This window comes from Homo sapiens, chromosome 6 (assembly GCF_000001405.40).
Source record: "Homo sapiens chromosome 6, GRCh38.p14 Primary Assembly".
NCBI lineage: Eukaryota > Metazoa > Chordata > Mammalia > Primates > Hominidae > Homo > Homo sapiens.
The window spans coordinates 154,093,663-154,111,575 of record NC_000006.12 but is presented as its reverse complement, the minus strand read 5'-3'; the positions used below and the strand labels follow the sequence as shown (position 1 = coordinate 154,111,575).

The 17,913-nt window shown below is 36.5% G+C and overlaps 1 protein-coding gene across 18 annotated transcripts in view; it reads right to left on the bottom strand.

Annotated features, from left to right (window-relative positions):
• Positions 1–17,913, bottom strand: part of OPRM1 (opioid receptor mu 1) — a 236,372-nt gene that overhangs the window by 135,292 nt on the left and 83,167 nt on the right. The window contains exons 4-5 of one of the 18 annotated variants that reach the window (NR_104349.1): positions 17,258–17,366; positions 1,123–1,221 (exon numbers count right to left, since the gene is read on the bottom strand). The exons of 10 other annotated variants lie outside the window; for them this stretch is intronic. Coding sequence is in view for 5 of the 8 variants with exons in the window: in NM_001145286.3 (NP_001138758.1) it covers positions 4,013–4,111 (99 nt within the window). In the remaining 3 variants the exon portion in view is untranslated. Of the gene's footprint in view, positions 1–1,122; positions 1,222–2,557; positions 3,829–3,923; positions 4,112–17,257; positions 17,367–17,913 lie in introns of those variants that run through there. 7 more of the 18 variants (NR_104351.1, NR_104348.1, NM_001145282.2 and 4 more) reach the window with 7 other exon arrangements.

Genomic DNA, 17,913 nt, shown 5'->3' with positions numbered 1-17,913 from the left:
AAAGAAAATTGAAGAGATTGTCTTTTCAACCTTGTCAATCTATGGAAGCAAACATAACCTTGAGAGGTGAAGTGGTGTGCCCAGGTGCATTGGAGGAGGAAAGTTGGTTTAATATTTTTATTTTGTGGCCACTCTCCTCCACCTCAATTTTTTTCTTTTCTCTTTGTGATGCCATTCAAAGTTACAATTGAAGGCAATAACAGGCTTGGGTACTTTTGAAGCCAATCAGAGTTTGAGCCAGAAATAGGCTTCAAAATCTCATTTATTACAGAAATCATAAAAACAGAGCCATACAGAAAACCTTGGGAGCTGATGACTCATAGGCAAAGATCTCCATGTACCTAAATAATAATAATAGGAAACTCATCCCCTCTTCCAAGCTCCATTGCCTGAATCAGACATATGGAATCTATAGTACAAGGGCTCCGACTTCAGCAAAGAAGAATTCAAGGAGAGGTAGAATAATCTGGTAGTTCAAAAGATCCAGACTTGATCTGCCATATGCTTTCTTCTGCTGTGAATATGGACTTATTTTGTCCAATATAATACATCTTTCTTTCACAAGAGAAAGCGTTGGTCATTACATTTATTGTCCACTAACAGAAGCTGGCCCTGGAGTCTGAATGGTGTAATCAGTCAAACCCAGAAATGAGTCCTAATTCTCTCTTTTTTTTTTTTTTTTTTTTTTTGAGACGGAGTCTCGCTTTGTCGCCCAGGCTGGAGTGCAGTGGCGCGATCTCTGCTCACTGCAAGCTCCGCCTCACGGGTTCACGCCATTCTCCTGCCTCAGCCTCCCGAGTAGCTGGGACTACAGGTGCCCGCCACCACGCCTGCTAAGTTTTTGAATTTTTAGTAGAGATGGGGTTTCACCATGTTAGCCAGGATGATCTCGATTTCCTGACCTCGTGATCCACCCACTTCGGTCTCCCAAAGTGCTGGGATTACAGGCTTGAGCCACCGTGCCCGGCCAATGAGTCCTAATTCTTGAGCAGTCAAAAGAGCTCGGAAACTCCTGCTTGTGAAGGGATCCCTTAAGCAACCATAAGCAACCCTTAAGCCATGGGATGAAAAACTCACACAAATGGTCTCCATTAGGGCTAGCAGCAGAACCCAGGCTCTCTGGCTTCCAATCTTATATTCTTTCACGGGAAAATATTGTAATTATTAGCCCTTGGTATGCTCACAGTTGAGTAAAGATGACTTTTGAAATAAATCTATTTTCTGCAAAGATATTTCATTCAAAAACAGAACAATGTACCAATTATAATGCTTATTCTTAGCAATGTATAGTTTAATTCAATGATTTATACCCCAAAGGTACATAGATTTTTTTCTTGTAATATCACCAGAAAACAAAGTAAAACAAAAGTGAAAACCCAAATAAAACAAAAGGGAAAACCCTGCTCTATTTTCAGAGATAGGAAATTTTAATGTCTTTTTGTATACTGAAGTATTTAGAGCATATATTTTAAATGAGTAAGAATAAGAGTTCAACAATCAATTTTAGGATTCTGATTAATGCCTAGAATTATGAGACCTTGCCAATTATTCCAGTGAAACATTGAATTTTGAATAGATTCATGCCTAACTGGGACTGATGATCTACAGTGGCTTTTAAACATTGCTTAGTGAAACCTTTATTCTGTGAGATGTTATAAGGTGTCCCTTGAAAAACTGGGCCTGAGCTCAGATGAACTGGAGAACTGAACTTTGGCTTAGAAAATGAAATGTGTATGTATGCAACACACACACACACACACACACACACACACACACACACACAGAGAGAGAGAGAGAGAGAGAGAGAGGGAGAGAGAGTAGGGCTTTTCACAGCCTTTTAAATGCTTATACATATTATCAGTCCCCATGACCAAAATAAGGTAGGCCACATTTCCTAACACTTGTCTATAGAGCTTCTCATTCACGGACCACCATTAGCATTTCACTTTAGTAGTGTTCTACAAGAAGCTGGTAGAGCGTGTGAAAACTGAAAACCTTATTCAAAGGGTCATTCCCTCTGATTCCCTAATCATCAAATCTTAACATCTGAATTATCTCAGTGTCCTTTTCATGTAGGCAAAATGCTGATGTTTGAATATTAGACTTCCAGTAACAAGAAAATCTCTATAACTCACAGCTTAGAAAATTCTAAACTCATCAAGTTGTATACATTAAATACATACATCTTTTTGTAAGTCAATCATGTCTCAAGAAAGTGGCTTACATTTTATTTTTTTTGTTTGGTTGTACTGGAATAGCTTTCTCTGTAACCTCTACCCATTGGCTTTAATAAGTCGGGCTATGTTGGTTGAGTCCAATTCCCTATTCACATTGCTTTAAGCATATGAAGAAACTGTGTTGTCCTTTCTAAGCCTTCTATTTCCCAGGGTAATCATGAGCAATTATTTTAATTCCCTCTGCCATCTTGGTTATTCATCTCTGAACACAATCTAATTTGCTTATTTCGTTCCTGAAGTGTATTGTCTATTAGAGTGAGGCTAACATTTCTTTGGTTCTAGACACTAGAATTCTCTTGATGTGACCTATAATTCCAACAGGTTAGATGGCTTTTATCATCATATTGCTGGTCCATGAAATAAAATCCCCATGACTTATTTCTTATGTGCTACCTCTCACATTCTATGTTTCTATAGTTGGATTTTTGGACTAAAATTTTTCTCTAGTAACTACTGTATTTTTAATTTTAGAGAACACTTCTAGTATGCTTGGTTTTTTATCTTATCACCGAGGTTATCAAGCATTCCTCCATGGATTGCAACTGTTAAGATGGGAGTCAATTAAAAGTTTATAAAGCGGGGTTAGAGGCCCTACTTAGGATGGTTAGAGTCTCTTCTAAGATTTAGGGTGTTAGAGACCCCTCTCGTTAAAGTCCCTCTTGGCTAAGAACAGCTTTGATGCTATGGGATATTAATTGCTATTCTCTTTGGATTAATCTGTCTTGCACTCTTTGCTGATGGCTGTGGATGGCAGGGTTGGACATGTACAGGATCGCGGGACATGGGGAGCTTTTTCCTCCCTAAAAGGGGAAACTTGAGAGCTAATAGGATTGCTGGAAAAGATCCTTTTGCTACCGAGAAGCAGCTGCCTGAACTTCTACAGTGTTGCTGCAATAGGTGAGTCTTTCTCTGGCCTCCTTGATCATTTCACCTTCCCCACCCTTCCACTGGCACGTTTTTCTCTCTCTCCTTTTCCTTTCCTATCTTTTCTGTTACTCAGGGCAACTGTTTTGCCCAGAGAGCACGTGTTGAAACTGCAAGTCAGAGGTCGGATTAAAGATGATGGAACCCATCTGGGGGCAAATTTAAGCTAGTCTGATATTTGGTGCTAAGCAGAGTAGCTAATGCCTATGTTTTATCACATGTGTTTTGCTCTGGCCAGAATGAAAAAAAAAAATTTCCTTTATGATGCAGCTTGGCCCGTAGGCGATGGTGCCGCAAGCCGGATCACTAGGGCCGCTCAGGGAAAGGGAACCCAGAAGCCTGGCATGCTGGCAAAAGGGTAACAATTTCTTACCAGTCAGATTTCTGTCTTCTTTCTCTCTGTGCAAACGGTTGAATGAATGGCAATAAAATAAAATAAAATAAAATAAAATAAAATAAAAAAATCAGTGTTTATCTCCTCTGTAAAGTTTTGATTAATGTGAAAAATAATTCAAAGGCTATTTTTAAGCTGGTGTATTTTGTGTTATGAGGTCGTTTTTCTGTGTTGAGGGATACTTCAGGATAAAACACGGGCTTGGAACACCTGTAAGCCCCCTTTTCAAGACGACCCGGCAAGTTGGTCAGCAACAAACTTGGCTGGAGGTCCCTGAAACCAACAAAAAAACTGGATGAAGTCTCTCCACCTTGGGAGCTTGACCTTTTAACCACACGGCAGTACCTTCTCTTGGTCTCCACCTTCAAGGGAACAGGAATTTTAGGGTTCATGTCATAGTCAGCTCTAAAAATCATATGAAATAGTTACAAGCCTTTGCAAACTCAAAATTAATGCTCTAGACTCTTCCTGGGAAGGGAAATGGAGACTGCCCTGCATTGTAGCTCAGTGGCCAAGGCTTTGCATTTTCACAGTGACAGTCCAGGTTCAATTCCACCTAGAAAGTAAGTCACTTCTGGTTTAATATCTGAGTGAAGACGTCTATTCTCTTCTCCTCTGCGGACTGTCTGAAATTTTCCTTTCTCTAAGCACCAAGGAGGTTGCCTTTGGTGAAGTTCAAAAGCCAGAAATACCGGCCTTTTGGCATAAGAAATTCTAAAAGAACTTTATTAAAGAGTGCTATGGTTAAAATCAGTTTAATTAAAAGCGGACATTCAAACTCTTAACAGTCTGGACTCCTTGGGAAAAACAGGAGGCACCAGAGACCCCTTTCCTGTCCCCATTCTTCCAAGGACTCCATCCTCAAGCCAGTCATCCAATTAAGAAACTGGCAAATGAAAATCTTACAAGTGCTGAATCTTCTGTCTGTCTCTATATTTATATGTGTTGTATGTTTATATGTAAAAGGGCTCTGATTAATTGGCTTAGAAATATAAGCCTTTAAATGAAGTATTTCAGCAGAAAAATAGAATATTTTATGCCTCTTTGTTCACATGACTTTAGTAATATTTTGGAAATAAAGACAGTTTTAAAGATTATTGGTAAAATAAAACATCTTAAAAATGTAGACATTTGGTCTAAATTAAGGTCAGATATCAGATTTGCTAAATGCTTTAAGGTCAAACTGTTTCTTTGACTTTTGAAAATTGTTCAATCTACCTACCCTAAAGCCATTAAATTCTAGATAAGGCCTGGGGATATGTGGAATTTACCATGCCCCCTAGCTATACAAAGAAGATTATAAAGAAAGAGATTTTATATAAAAAAGGATCCTGTATGGTAAATTCTTGTCCTAAAGTAAAATAACTGGTTGTTTAAAAGAAGGGAGGTTTAGGGCAAGTCAGAAAGTCCAAAAATGCCTCAGATATTCTGTGTGAGTGATGAAAGGATTTGTGAAAAGGAATTTATGCAAGAAATGTTGTGTAATTCAAAGGTTGTAAGGACTCCTAAATGCTTCATAAAATGCCACTATGACTCTTACCGTACAACTTGCCTGCTTTACTGCTAGGTAAGGTCTGGGGACATGCGGAGTTAGTCATGCCCTCAGCTGTGCTGGAGAGCCAGCTCTTATCTGCACTTCTGCCTGGAGTGTTCTGGGCCAGGCTTCACACCTAGCACACAACTAAAATCTCAAATTTACCAAGGTTTTCATCAAAAATAGAAGTTGCTAAGAGTTAACATTATCACATGTAATTAAAACTACTAAAGAAACAATCTTACATGCAAGGTGTGTAAAGAAAGTAAAATGTGTTTTTGGTGAAAAATTATAAGAAGTCATAAGAATGTGAATTTTTTCTGCTTAAAGTGTTAAAGGATTGTTTTAAGTAAGAAAAAAATCTAAAGATTTAAACAAGCTGTGGAAGGTTTATAAGGATTAATTGTAAGAGATTCTGTGTGTGAACATATTGGCTAAAAGGGGGTATTATTCCGTTTTTCCATAAATTAAACATTGGAATAAATCACAATAGCTTTTTCCTAGAGCACTGATCTGCTCTTACACAAAAAAATGTAAATGGTTATAAAAGGTTTATAAGAATCTTACCTTATGGTTAAACATTAAAATTGGGTAAATATGTCTATAAGGTTTTATTAAAACTTAGGTTTAGCATTAATAGTAAAAGGTGAAATTTGACTTATTTGGCATAAAAATCATAGAGGAAGTGTTATCAAATGTGAAATGATGTTTTGCTTGCTTTAGACTATATTTGCATAAATGTGTTACTGGTATATGTTCCAAAGTTATGGGAAACTCCTATAATTCTAATATGACTTAGTGTATGTTATTTATAACTGTTGTGTAAAATTCTGTGTGCCACAGAAGTAAGCAAATTTCCTTATCAATTGTGGCTTTAATAGTGGCTGTCCTAAAACTTTTTGTCATCCACAGAAAATTGTTGTCTTGTTTTAATCCTCTTTAGAAGATGATTTATAATCAACTATAGAACTCTAACAGGTGTTCTTAAATGCAAGTTTCTGATAACTTTGGAAATTGTAACATTAGAATAGAGGAAACAACTTTCAGAACTCATGAAGACATGGAATGTTCATGAATGTCAAGCAAAACAGGAGTTAACTAAATTCAGTAAACCAATAGAAAACTAATCTTTTAAACTTTGCTTAGAACATTGCTGATCCTTTGTTTTGTTTTTCAGAGTCAAGAAAACTTTTCTTTTAAGCTATTTACAGCTTTTAACAGTTGAGTGTACTCCTATGAACAAAATTTGGAGCATATTTATTTCTGTCTACCTGATTTCTACAGAATTTGGAAACTAGTTGTGAGTATTCTTAACTTATGGTAGTATAGTTATTTGCATAGGCATAATAAGAATCTGTTTTCTTTTGTAATACAACACAATTGGAGAAATTGTTTATCTTACCAAGGCTTTGACTGGAATGGTGTGTTTTCCTTTAAGGAATTAAACTTGACTTATAAAGCCAATAAAAGTCCCTTGGGGAACTGGCCTCATACCTTGCCTACACAGTCCCTGTTCAGGGTTTCTGACCTATGGTAAGTAAAGAACGTCATTTTCTGTCAGGTCCAGAAGACTGAAGTTACTTTGGGACCTCAAGAGGAAAGAAATTTACCCAACTTATAGGTATTTGAGGGTACAAACCCATGGCTGGGCTTGGCTTAAAAAGATCTTACCTGAAATTCCTTCTGTGGAACAGCATTCCATCAAAGCCAATTTAAAAAGAGCTTATGTGAAAAATAATTATTCTTGCTGCACTTTATACAAATAATCAGGTCATGTATAATAAAGCAAATCAGCCTTACCATGATTTGTCTTTAGTAAAAATGGGAAACTAGAGAGAGAAATATTATGTTTCAAAAACTATGGTACACTTGTTATTAAATTCTAGTCTCATTAGTTGTTTTTAAGCTTGTTTCTGCAATTTAGGCTAATCCTGCTTATTCCTGTAAACCAACCAGTGATGTCTGACTGCTGCTTAGAAGAAACAAGAGGGATGGGTAATGTAAAAATCTAAATGAGTATTCTAATTCTGGGCACATTACAATCAGCTAACAACCCCATATCAGCTTAGTTCCAACAGTTGTCCAGTTTATGAAAAGCATTCTAATTTAGTTTACTTGGAATAACTTCATTTGTTTTGCTTTACTCTTTTGGAATATATTCCTATTATATTCTTTGTGTAGGAATACAGGACAAGCTGACTGAATGTTTTCTTTAACTAAACATTTATTAATCTTCCAGATATCATCTGTTGTTGAAACTCAAGAGTCATGAATGGCCCTCGCCATACTGATGCTTTCTGACTGAGCTTCTCTCTACCCTAAACACAAGAGCCCCTAATAGCTAGGCAGGAATATTATTGCCCCTATTCAGCCTGAAGAAGTTACGGAAGATGGATCTTCATCTCTCTGCAACTCTTAGGATTAAGGGTTCTCTTACAAAAGGGAGGGGGGACATGTCAGAGGCATGTGAACCAGAACAACTCCATCTTGAATAAGAGCTGAGTAAAATGAGGCTGAAACCTATTGGGCTGCATTCCTAGACAGTGAAGGGATTCTAAGTCACAGGCTGAGATAAGAGGTCAGCACAAAATACAGGTCATAAAGACCTTGCTGATAAAACACGTTGCAGTAAAGGAGCCGGCCAAAACCCATGAAAACCAAAATGGCAACAAGAGTGACCCCTGGTTGTCCTCACTGCTACACTCCCACCAACACCATGACAATTTACAAATGCCATGGAAACATCAGGAAGTTACCCTGTATGGTCTAAAAAGGGGAGGCATGAATAATACACCCCTTGTTGAGCATATCATCAAGAAATAACTGTAAAAATGGGCCACCAGAAGCCCTCAGGGCTGCTCTATGGAGTAGCTATTCTTTTATTTCTTTACTTTCTTAATAAACTTGCTTTCACTTTGAAAAAAAAAGTTTATAAACCTACCTCATTGTACTATTACCTAGATCATAAACACAGTATAGTATTACAGAAATTAGTAAGAGCTTGTCAAATCTATTGTTAGAAACACAATTGGTATAGGGTTTACCTAATTTCCGGGTCCAGTAATGTTCTAAGAAAATAAAATTTATTTTGCCATAACTAATGATAACTTGCCTCTTAGAGGTTACTTGCTTTCTTTCTAAGTACTTTCAAAATACATTTTAATGATTTAATCCAGGTTCTAAAAACAATTTGTACAAAGCTAAATATTCTGTGGTTTTCAGTTGCTACAATATTCCCATTAAACTTGGGATTCTATTTCTTTACCCTCATTTTCCAGGAGTCCTTCCATTCTTATTTGCTTCAGAGATTATGATTTGTGTTTCATTGTAGTTTGTCCACAACTCCTCTTAATGTTTTAATATCGCCATGAGATTTGACCTCATTCAGAGCCTCCTGGGGTTCTCTAACAATATCTTCATCTTTATTGGCCTTTAATTTTTTTCTTAATAGTGTCTCAAGCTGAAGGTCATTTTTTTTCTAAAAGAAGCTTGAAGTAATATAAGGGTTGAAGAATTGTGCCTTTCTCTTGTCTTCCATGAGTATGGAGTGTTTTTTTTTTTTTTTTTTGCAACTGGTTAGTGGTGTAGAAGAAAGCTTTCCTTAGAGAAATTTTCAGAGGAGGATCAGACTAAAGTCAGGACACCTGGGGTTTGGTTCCAATTTTCTCAAGCATTGCTTTAAAAACATCACAACTAATTGGACCTTAATGTTTCTCCAGCTATTGAACAAAATTAAACAGGTTAGATCAATGGTTCTTGACTGATTTCTGCTGCCTGCCTCCACTCCAGGAGACATTTGGCAATATCTGGAGGCATTTTGGCATCACAGTGGGAGATGGGTGGGTGCTACTGGCATTTAGTGTGTTGAGACAAAGGATGCTGCTGAACATCTTACAGTGCCCACAATGTCACTAGCGCCAAGGTTGAGAAGGCTTGGGTTAGTCCACTTTATGATCTCTTTTGGTACATTATTTCATTCCTTTTAAATGCTATTTACAAGAGATGAAATTCAGTTTTGAGGGAAAAGGAAAAGAAGAAGATGAGAATAGTAAAGCCTCACCGGATGGCTTGGAGTAATAATATTAGCCAGTTGCCTGACACTTTGGATGGATAATCATACATCATGCTTACATCAAAGCTAAGTGGTAGTTACTACAGTTATTACCTTTCTTACAGATGAGGAAATGCAAGCAGAGATTGTTAGAAACTTGCCCAAGAACATTCAGCCCATCAGTAGTATGATCTGGGGCCATTTACATTTTTAGGATTTTGGCTATCCTAGGATTTTGGGAGGGCAAGGCAGGTGGATCACTTCAGCCCAGGAGTTTAAGACCAGGCTCGCAACACGGCAAAACCCTGTCTCTACAAAAAGTACAAAAATTAGCATGGTGTGATGGTGTGTGCCCATAGTTTTAGCTACTCAGGAGGCTGAGGCAGGAGGATCACTGGAGCCTGGGAAGTAGAGGCTGCAGGGAGCTGAGCTGGTGCCACGGCACTCCAGCTTGGACAGCAGAGCTAAATCCTGTCTCCAAAAAAATAAAATAAATAATTTTTTAGGATTTTATCTTGCATCTGCTGTTCTTATCTAATTGTAATGCTTCCCCTTAACCTGATGAAAATTTTAAAATTAAATTTACATATGTTTATGTAAAAATACAATTATCTGACTTTTTATTTACACAAATTTTCTTAAACTCTATTTGAAAACTAGGTGTTTGGAAAGATTTCACTATCATCTTTTACATTTAGTAAGAAAAAAGGTACACAATAAAAAAATACATTTCTGGCCTTCAATTTCTCCATTTATAGGAAAAGGATGTTTGGATAAGACAGTCTGCAGTGTTCTTTTTCAGTTCCAGTGTTCGAAGAACTGTGAACATTTTGCATCTGCTTGACATATCCAGTTACATTATTGAGATTTAGACGTTGATATTTGCTATACTATAGCCATTTGAAAGTCTATTTGTCATATTGAACTTCTGAAGCAATCAGAAAGAAATTCAGTTATTATAGTATATGCAAGTCACACTGCAAGCCTTAGCTGAAGCATTTAAAAATTCTATGAGAGAATTGTTCCTCCCATTTCCCTTCTATTTCCAAAGAGTAGCTCAAGGAGAGCGTTTTTAAAAGTTGATGGTTTGAATTTGAATGAGCCCATATTTAATGATACTTCAGGAATTTTGAATATAAGAACACCTTAGCTAATATAATAGAGAAGAATGAAGAAGAGTAAGAGTGAGATATTCTTCTTAAGTCGACAAATTATGAAATGAGTTAAATAGATGATTGTATTGTCAAATGTACAGTAGTCATATCTCATCCCACATCCACCTTTCACTGAATTTTCTGGTTGTCAACGTTTTAAAAAATATTTTGCTATTTGTTGATTAAGTTATTCTTATTTCTTAATATCATCTTTCATAGGATTTGCTTTTCTATTACATCTTAAAGGAATCCATTTCATCATAATAAATCATTTACTTTTTACACTTCAAGGGACTTAGGTATAGAAAACTTGAATTTTATATATGTGTGTATATATATTTATATATATAATATGTAAATATATATTACGAATCCTGGATTATATATACATATATATTTATATTTATAAAATCTCCTAAATATATATTTTTTAACCTTTATAAATATTGGATAATGTGACAAAAGTAGAAAGAACCTAGGTAGGGATTGCTAGATTTTGTAGATATCTAGTATTCTTGGGATTTCTGGTGTCTGTATAGAAAACAGAATAGTAGATGGTAGCTGATTTTACACAAAAAATGTGCTCTATACATTAGCTCTTTTTCCTTCTTTCCCAAGAAATACTTCACTTTATACAGACAAATTGCTCACATTATTTTTCTATATATTCATTCTTAAACTGAGAGGACCAATATTCAAATTGTGATGAAATTTTCAGCCTATATTTATTTGGTATCTGATAATGATATGGAGCCAATTTATCAGGCTATTTATTTCTTTGCATGTGTTTCTAATATGTTCAGATGTTATAGAAAGACAAGATGGTTAATTTCCTTTGATTCATACACAGTAAAGCAACAAGCACTACCTTAAATTCATACTTATCTCACACCAGTTAGGGTTAATATTTATGGGTGTATTCCTTTAGCACACACCACTGGCAATGGGGATGACTGGGCTTGCATGAGCTCTGTGACTTTTTGATATATATTATGATATATGTCATAATATGATAATATATATTATGATATATGTCATAATATGATAATATATATTACGATATGTCATAATATGATAATATATATTATGATATGTCATAATATGATAATATATATTATGATACGTCATAATATGATAATATATATTATATGTCATAATATGATAATATATAATATATATATCATAATATGATAATATATAATATGATATATATCATGATATATATCATATGATATATATCATATGATAATATATAATATGTTATGATATATATCATAATATGATAATATATAATATGTTATGATATATATCGTAATATGATAATATATATGTTATGATATATATCATAATATGATAATACATGTTATGATATATATCATAATATAATATATAATATGTTATGATATATATCATATGATAATATATAATATATTATGATATATCCTGATATGATATATATTTGATATATATTATGAAAACTCATGTTTTTATGAAACTCTTCATGTTTATTATGAAAACTCTCCATGTTTTTAAAAACTACAATTACAATTTAACATTTGAAATGAATCTTGTTTCTAGCCTCCCCTACCCACATCATATATATGTGTGTATATATGTATATACATGTGTGTATATATATGTGTGTATATATGTGTATGATCTTTATTTAAGAGATTTTATTGCAGTAGAGTAGAAGTCATAGACGATATGGTTTCCTTCCTCCCTCCCTTCCTCTCTCCCTCTCTCTCTTTCCTCTTTCTCTCATTCTTTCCTTCCTCTTTCTTTTTCTTTCCTTCTTTCTTTCTTTCTTTTTCTTTCTTTCTTTCTCTCTTTCTTTCTTCCTCCCTCCCTCTTTCTTTCTCTTTCTCTCTTTCTTTCTTTACTTTCTTTCTTTCTCTTTCTTTCTCTTTCTTTCTCTCTCTCTCTCTCTCTCGCTCTCTTCCTCCCTCCCTTCCTTCCTTCCTTCCTTCCTTTCTTCCTTCCTTCCTTCCTTCCTTTCGACAGACTCTCATTCAGTTGCCCAGCCTAGAGTGCGGTGGCACAATCACTGCTCATTGCAGCCTCAACTTCCCAGGTTCAATCAATTCTCCCACCTTAGCCTCCTGAGTAGCTAGACCTACAGGTGCATGCCACCGCGCCTGGCTTTTTTTGTTTGTTTGTTTTTTGCAGAGATCGACTTTCGTCAGGTTGCCCAGGCTGGTCTTGAACTCCTGGGCTCAAGCAATTCACTGGCCTCGGCCTCCCAAAATGCTGAGATTACAGATGAGAGCCACTGCACCTGGTCTGGCTCTAATTTTTTTTCTTCATCATGAAAAGTTCCTATTCACGTGAAACTCAGAAACTCTACTCTATAAAGAAACAAATTCTGAGTGTGAAGGGAGAGGACTGATGAAATTGTGGCTTTGGATTCTTGATTTCCAGGGAAATAATAATTAGAAAAGGAAAATTATCAATAAGACAAATTTTGTTCTACACCCCACAGAAATTTCTATTTCTCATAATGTACTCTCCAAATTAATTTTGCCATTTTTGTCAAATTTTAGCAATTTACAAATATTTATTTGCAACCTGCCAAAAGATATAGTGATCAGAATGACATCCAAAAGTTAACAGCTGGTTTGTGATAGGTCATATACATTCAAATATCCTTTCCTTTAGTGTGAAGGAGAAAATGCAAAAGCAAAAATAAATACTGTGAAACTGCATTTCAAAATCATAGAGGTAGAAGTAAAAATAAACGTGGTGTTGTTGAAAGTTAAAAGAGAAAAATATGCACCTTTTCATATTTAGCATCCAAAACTACATGAGGTAGAAAATAAAGATTGACATGTTCCAAAACACTAAATCTCAGTGAGAGTATTTTTACAAAAAATGGCTGTAAAATAGCAATTCACCACTTAAGTTTAACCAAATAAGATGACATCTCATTTTGTTAGTTTTGAAAGGAAAAATATGTTGCTGTTTTTCAGTTAGTTACATTAGTTAGAACAGTCAGGAAAAGAAGATACTGCACCACTTTAGTTAATCCAATCTTTAAAACTAAATTTCCCTAAATTTCTCAGGTCTGAGACCATGCTGAGAAGAGTGAAAAATAGACTGGAATATATCAGGGCACATTGATTAAAAGCCTGGGTTATAAGATGGAATTTAACTGGAGTCAATAGTTAGCCACTAATTAAAATTTTTTTTCTAATTTTTAAAATTTTATAAATTTAGTAGAGACAAGGTCTTGCTATGTTGGCCAGGTTGGTCTCGAACACCTGGCCTCAAACAATCCTCCTGCCTTGGCCTCCCAAAGTACTAGGATAACAGGCGTGAGCCACTGCACCCAACCCTCAGCCACTACATTTTAACTATGACCTTGGGCAAGTTACTTCCTTAAACATTAGTTTCCTCAACTATAGAGTAGAGGTTACAATCCATATCTAATATGATTAAATAAGATATCCCATCCCAGACACAAAATGGTCAATATATGTTATTATGAATAGTCTAAAAGCCAAATTTTTCTAGGGATAAACACATTTTTAACTAAACAACATTTTCTCTCACATATCACAATAATTTATAGAAACACATACTAATTTCTTCTGCTATGCATGAAATATTAATTTTAAACCTACATTTACTCTAATTCCATACATGCAAAAAGAGACATGCCTATATCACACGCACACACACACACACACACACACGGAACCATTTTCTTTTTAAACTGTAGAACTGAAAGAATAGCCATTTTGATTTCATTCACAAAATAAGCATTAATGTTGTCCACTGCTGTAATTTTGTGAGCTATTCTCATTTGAGTTTTTTTTCCCATTGAATTGAAACAATTACTTTCCCAAATTAACTCTCCACAGATGTCTTGTAAAAAAAACTGAGATCAACTTTTGAGAGTGATGTATTTTATTTTAAAAGTAGGCTTCTGCTTTTAGTTTAGCTGGGGATAATATAGTTCACAGTTAAACCAAATACAGAGCATCTCCTAACTTCTTGACCCGCTATTTTGATTAAAATGTCAAGAAAGTGCTTTAATAATAGTAATTAGAGGGTTTAGGACTGGACTTGCCATATTAATGGAAAGGAATTAGCAGGACATGCCACGACGTTCACTTTATCACTATTATATTGCTTTTTCCTGTAAGACCCACGGGTAGATATGTCAGAATATTAAGGCTTTTTCCAAGGATAATTACATTATTTCACAAAACACATAACTCATTTGGTGAAAACATTCATGTCAATCAGCTTGACTGAAATGGCTAGACAGGTTAGACAAAACAGTAAATGTGCTACTTTGGAGATGAAGGTACAGTTTAAATAAGAGATTTCAGTTTATTGTTTTATTTAAAAGGCAGATTCTTGGACCCTCACATAACAAACTATAATTTATTAGAGCAGTTCTTAAGAACTTACATTTTCTGGAGCTCATAGTAAATGTTGAGAATCTGGCTGAGACCATGTGATAATAATTGAGTGCAAAGTAGCATTGTGTAGGAAAGCAGAGAAAAGCTGTGGAGTAATATTCGAAGCCCTGGGTGCTTGTCTGGATTCTACCTCTTCCTGGCTGTTTGATCTTATATAATGATTTAACTTCCCTGAGCATTTTCTTACATTTACCCATCAGAGTTGTTATAGGAAGCAGATGTGATAATGCCCATAAAAGCACTTTTGAATCTGTACATTGCCATATAAATGTAAGGCAGCATTATTATTATAGTGGTTGTTAGTACTAGCCTGGTGCAAAAATAATTGCGGTTTTTGCCATTGAAAGTAATGGCAAAACCCGCAATTACTTTTGCACCAAACTCTACCGTTTCAGTGATAATTCAACTGATGTAACAGTGTTGCTTTTTTCCCCATATAATGCTAAACGTTTTCAATAATCACCTACGTGTCAAGATATAAAATGCGTTAGAGGCCAGACACAGGGGCTCACGTCTGGAATCTCAGCACTTTGGGAGGCTGAGGTGGGCGGATCACTTGGGGTCAAGAGTTTGAGGCCAGCCTGACCAACAAGGTGAAACCCCATCTCCACTAAAAATAATACAAAAATTAGCTGGGTGTGGTGGCGCATGCCTGTAATCCCAGCTACTGGGGAGGCTGAGGCAGGAGAATCGTTTGAACCAGGAGGAAGAGGTTGCAGTGAGCTGAGATCGCACCACTGCACTCCAGCCTGGGCGACAGAGTAATTCCATTTCAAACTAAAAATCAAAAAACAAACAAACAACAACAATAACAACAAAAAGAAAATGCATTAGATAATATGATGCGGGTGGAAACCAAGTGGGCAAGGCAGGTTAGCAGTGGCCAACAGTTCAGGTTTGAGTTGAACCTGAAGTGATCGAAATAAACAAGGGAAGGGTTTGAAAGCAAAGTGGAGTTCAATAGGACAACAGCAGTGTAGGGCGTGTGTGGAGAAATTAAATTGCACTGAGAACAGATGGAAAATGAATGCCTATGCCTTAGTCTACCTAATAAAGATCTAAAAGTCATAAAGACAGCAAGCTGAACATAAATCAGGCACAGAGGCTACAGCTGGAGCAGTAGGCTGAGCCCAGGCATGCACAAAAAAAACACGAGACCATCTTTTTTGTTTTTTCATACTCAGCTAGGGAAAGACCTCTTTAGGGCACTGAATCAATCTCTTGGTCTCCTTATCAAAAGTACGCGTTAGAAATAAAATTAGAAAACAACCATGAATGTAACTGATTTTTTGAAAAGTATAAATAACATTGGATCAGAGTAGCAAAGGCTGAGGAGGAGAAAAGGAAGAAGGCCTATTTTGAATATTTTCCCATTACTGACGGTAAGAGGGTTAGGGTACATAGTCATTTAGGTTGTTCGTCAGTTGCATGATGAAGGGGTCATGCCTGCCACATCTCCTGAAATATCCTCAGCCCTCTCATCATTTATTCAACAGACATGAATCTGTCCAATGCTTTGGATGTTTTGGAAGTACTTTCTTTCTTTTCTTTCTTTCTTTTGAGATGGAGTTTCGTTCTTGTTGCCCAGGCTGGAGTGCAATGGCACGACCTGGGCTCACTGCAACCTCTGCCTCCCAGGTTCAAGCGATTCTCCTGTCTCAGCCTCCCAAATAGCTGGAATTACAGGTATGTGCCACCACACCTGGCTAATTTTGTATTTTTAGTAGAGACGGGGTTTCACCATGTTGACCAGGCTGGTCTCGAACTCCTGACCCCAGGTGATCCACTAGCCTTGGCCTCCCAAAGTGCTGGGATTACAGGCATGAGCTACTGTGCCTGGCCAGAAGTACTTTCTTTTTAATGTGCTAGACTCTGGCTTGGGAGAGCAAGACAGACACGGCTCCTGCCCTCAGGAAGTAATGGCTTCCCTGTCTCATGCAGCATGTCCTTACTACGGATTGTTAGCAGAAGTGGTCATAATTATTCGCTCCCTATATACCTATCCTTTTGCAATGTGACTGCAGATCCTATCAGCAAGAGATGGAGTCTAATTTCTCACCCTTTGAATCTAGGTTGGCAGGATGACTTTATTTGACCTATAAAACCACAGAGTTGACCGTATGCCAATTCCTACTCTATGCCAAAAGACGCTTTCCTCTTTTCTCTCTCTCTTTCTTTCTCTTGGAATCTGTGACCACCATGAGAACAAGGCTGGGGTAACATGCTAGACGGTAAGAGTCCATGTGGAGCTAGTCATTCTTGCTGAGGCCATGTAGATCAGCTAGCTGACCACCCGCCCATCGGGCAGCTGCCCTCCGAGCAAGCCCAGCCAATACTGGAAGAACGGTCCAGCCAAGCCCAGCTCCAATGGCTGTTCTACAGAATTGTAAACTAAATAAATGGTTGCTTCTAGCCACTACATTTTGGAATGATTTGTAATGTAACAAAAGCTGACTGAGCAGCTCTTAACTGTGTAAGTATGACTCTAAGCTTATTTTGGGCACAGAATTTTCTCATTGGCTTATCAAATTACCTTGATAACTGCCAAATCGCCACTCCACTTTGCGCTGTATGGAAATTGCCTCAGTGGACAGTTGTCAGAATACAGACACCCTGGGAAGGTTTGATATTGGATCTCTGATCTGCAGAATATGAAGTTGACTAATGTGCTTGAAATGTGACATATAGAGTATAATATATTCCTCAAAGAAAGTACAAATACATAAGGCAGAACATAAACATCCACAACCAATATAAACTTCAAACAAGTAGTTGAAAAGTTAAATGCAAATCCTATTAGCTTTGTTTTCCAACATGATGGGTCATGATGTGAAACAACGACCAAACACCTGTTTATCACATTCTGGATTTGTACAACTAACTTAACATGTCCTATAGACACAGCCATCAAGTCTCCAATTTCTCCTTCAAGTCATTTTATTATGTTGATATATTATTGAAACTATCACTAGCAGCTTATGTATTGTTCCAGTTGTCTGGTTGTAACTGCTTTAATTCTAATGATGACACATCAGTGGAGATTAGCCAAAGGGAGCTTTGATTTATCTTAATTTTTAAATATGTCAGAGCATCTTTCCCTCTTTTCCTGGCAGCCTCTCTTCTGTGTCCAGTTCTCTCAGTTGGGCATTTTGGGACAGCAACCAATTCGAGGGCTAATGTGTTTCTGCT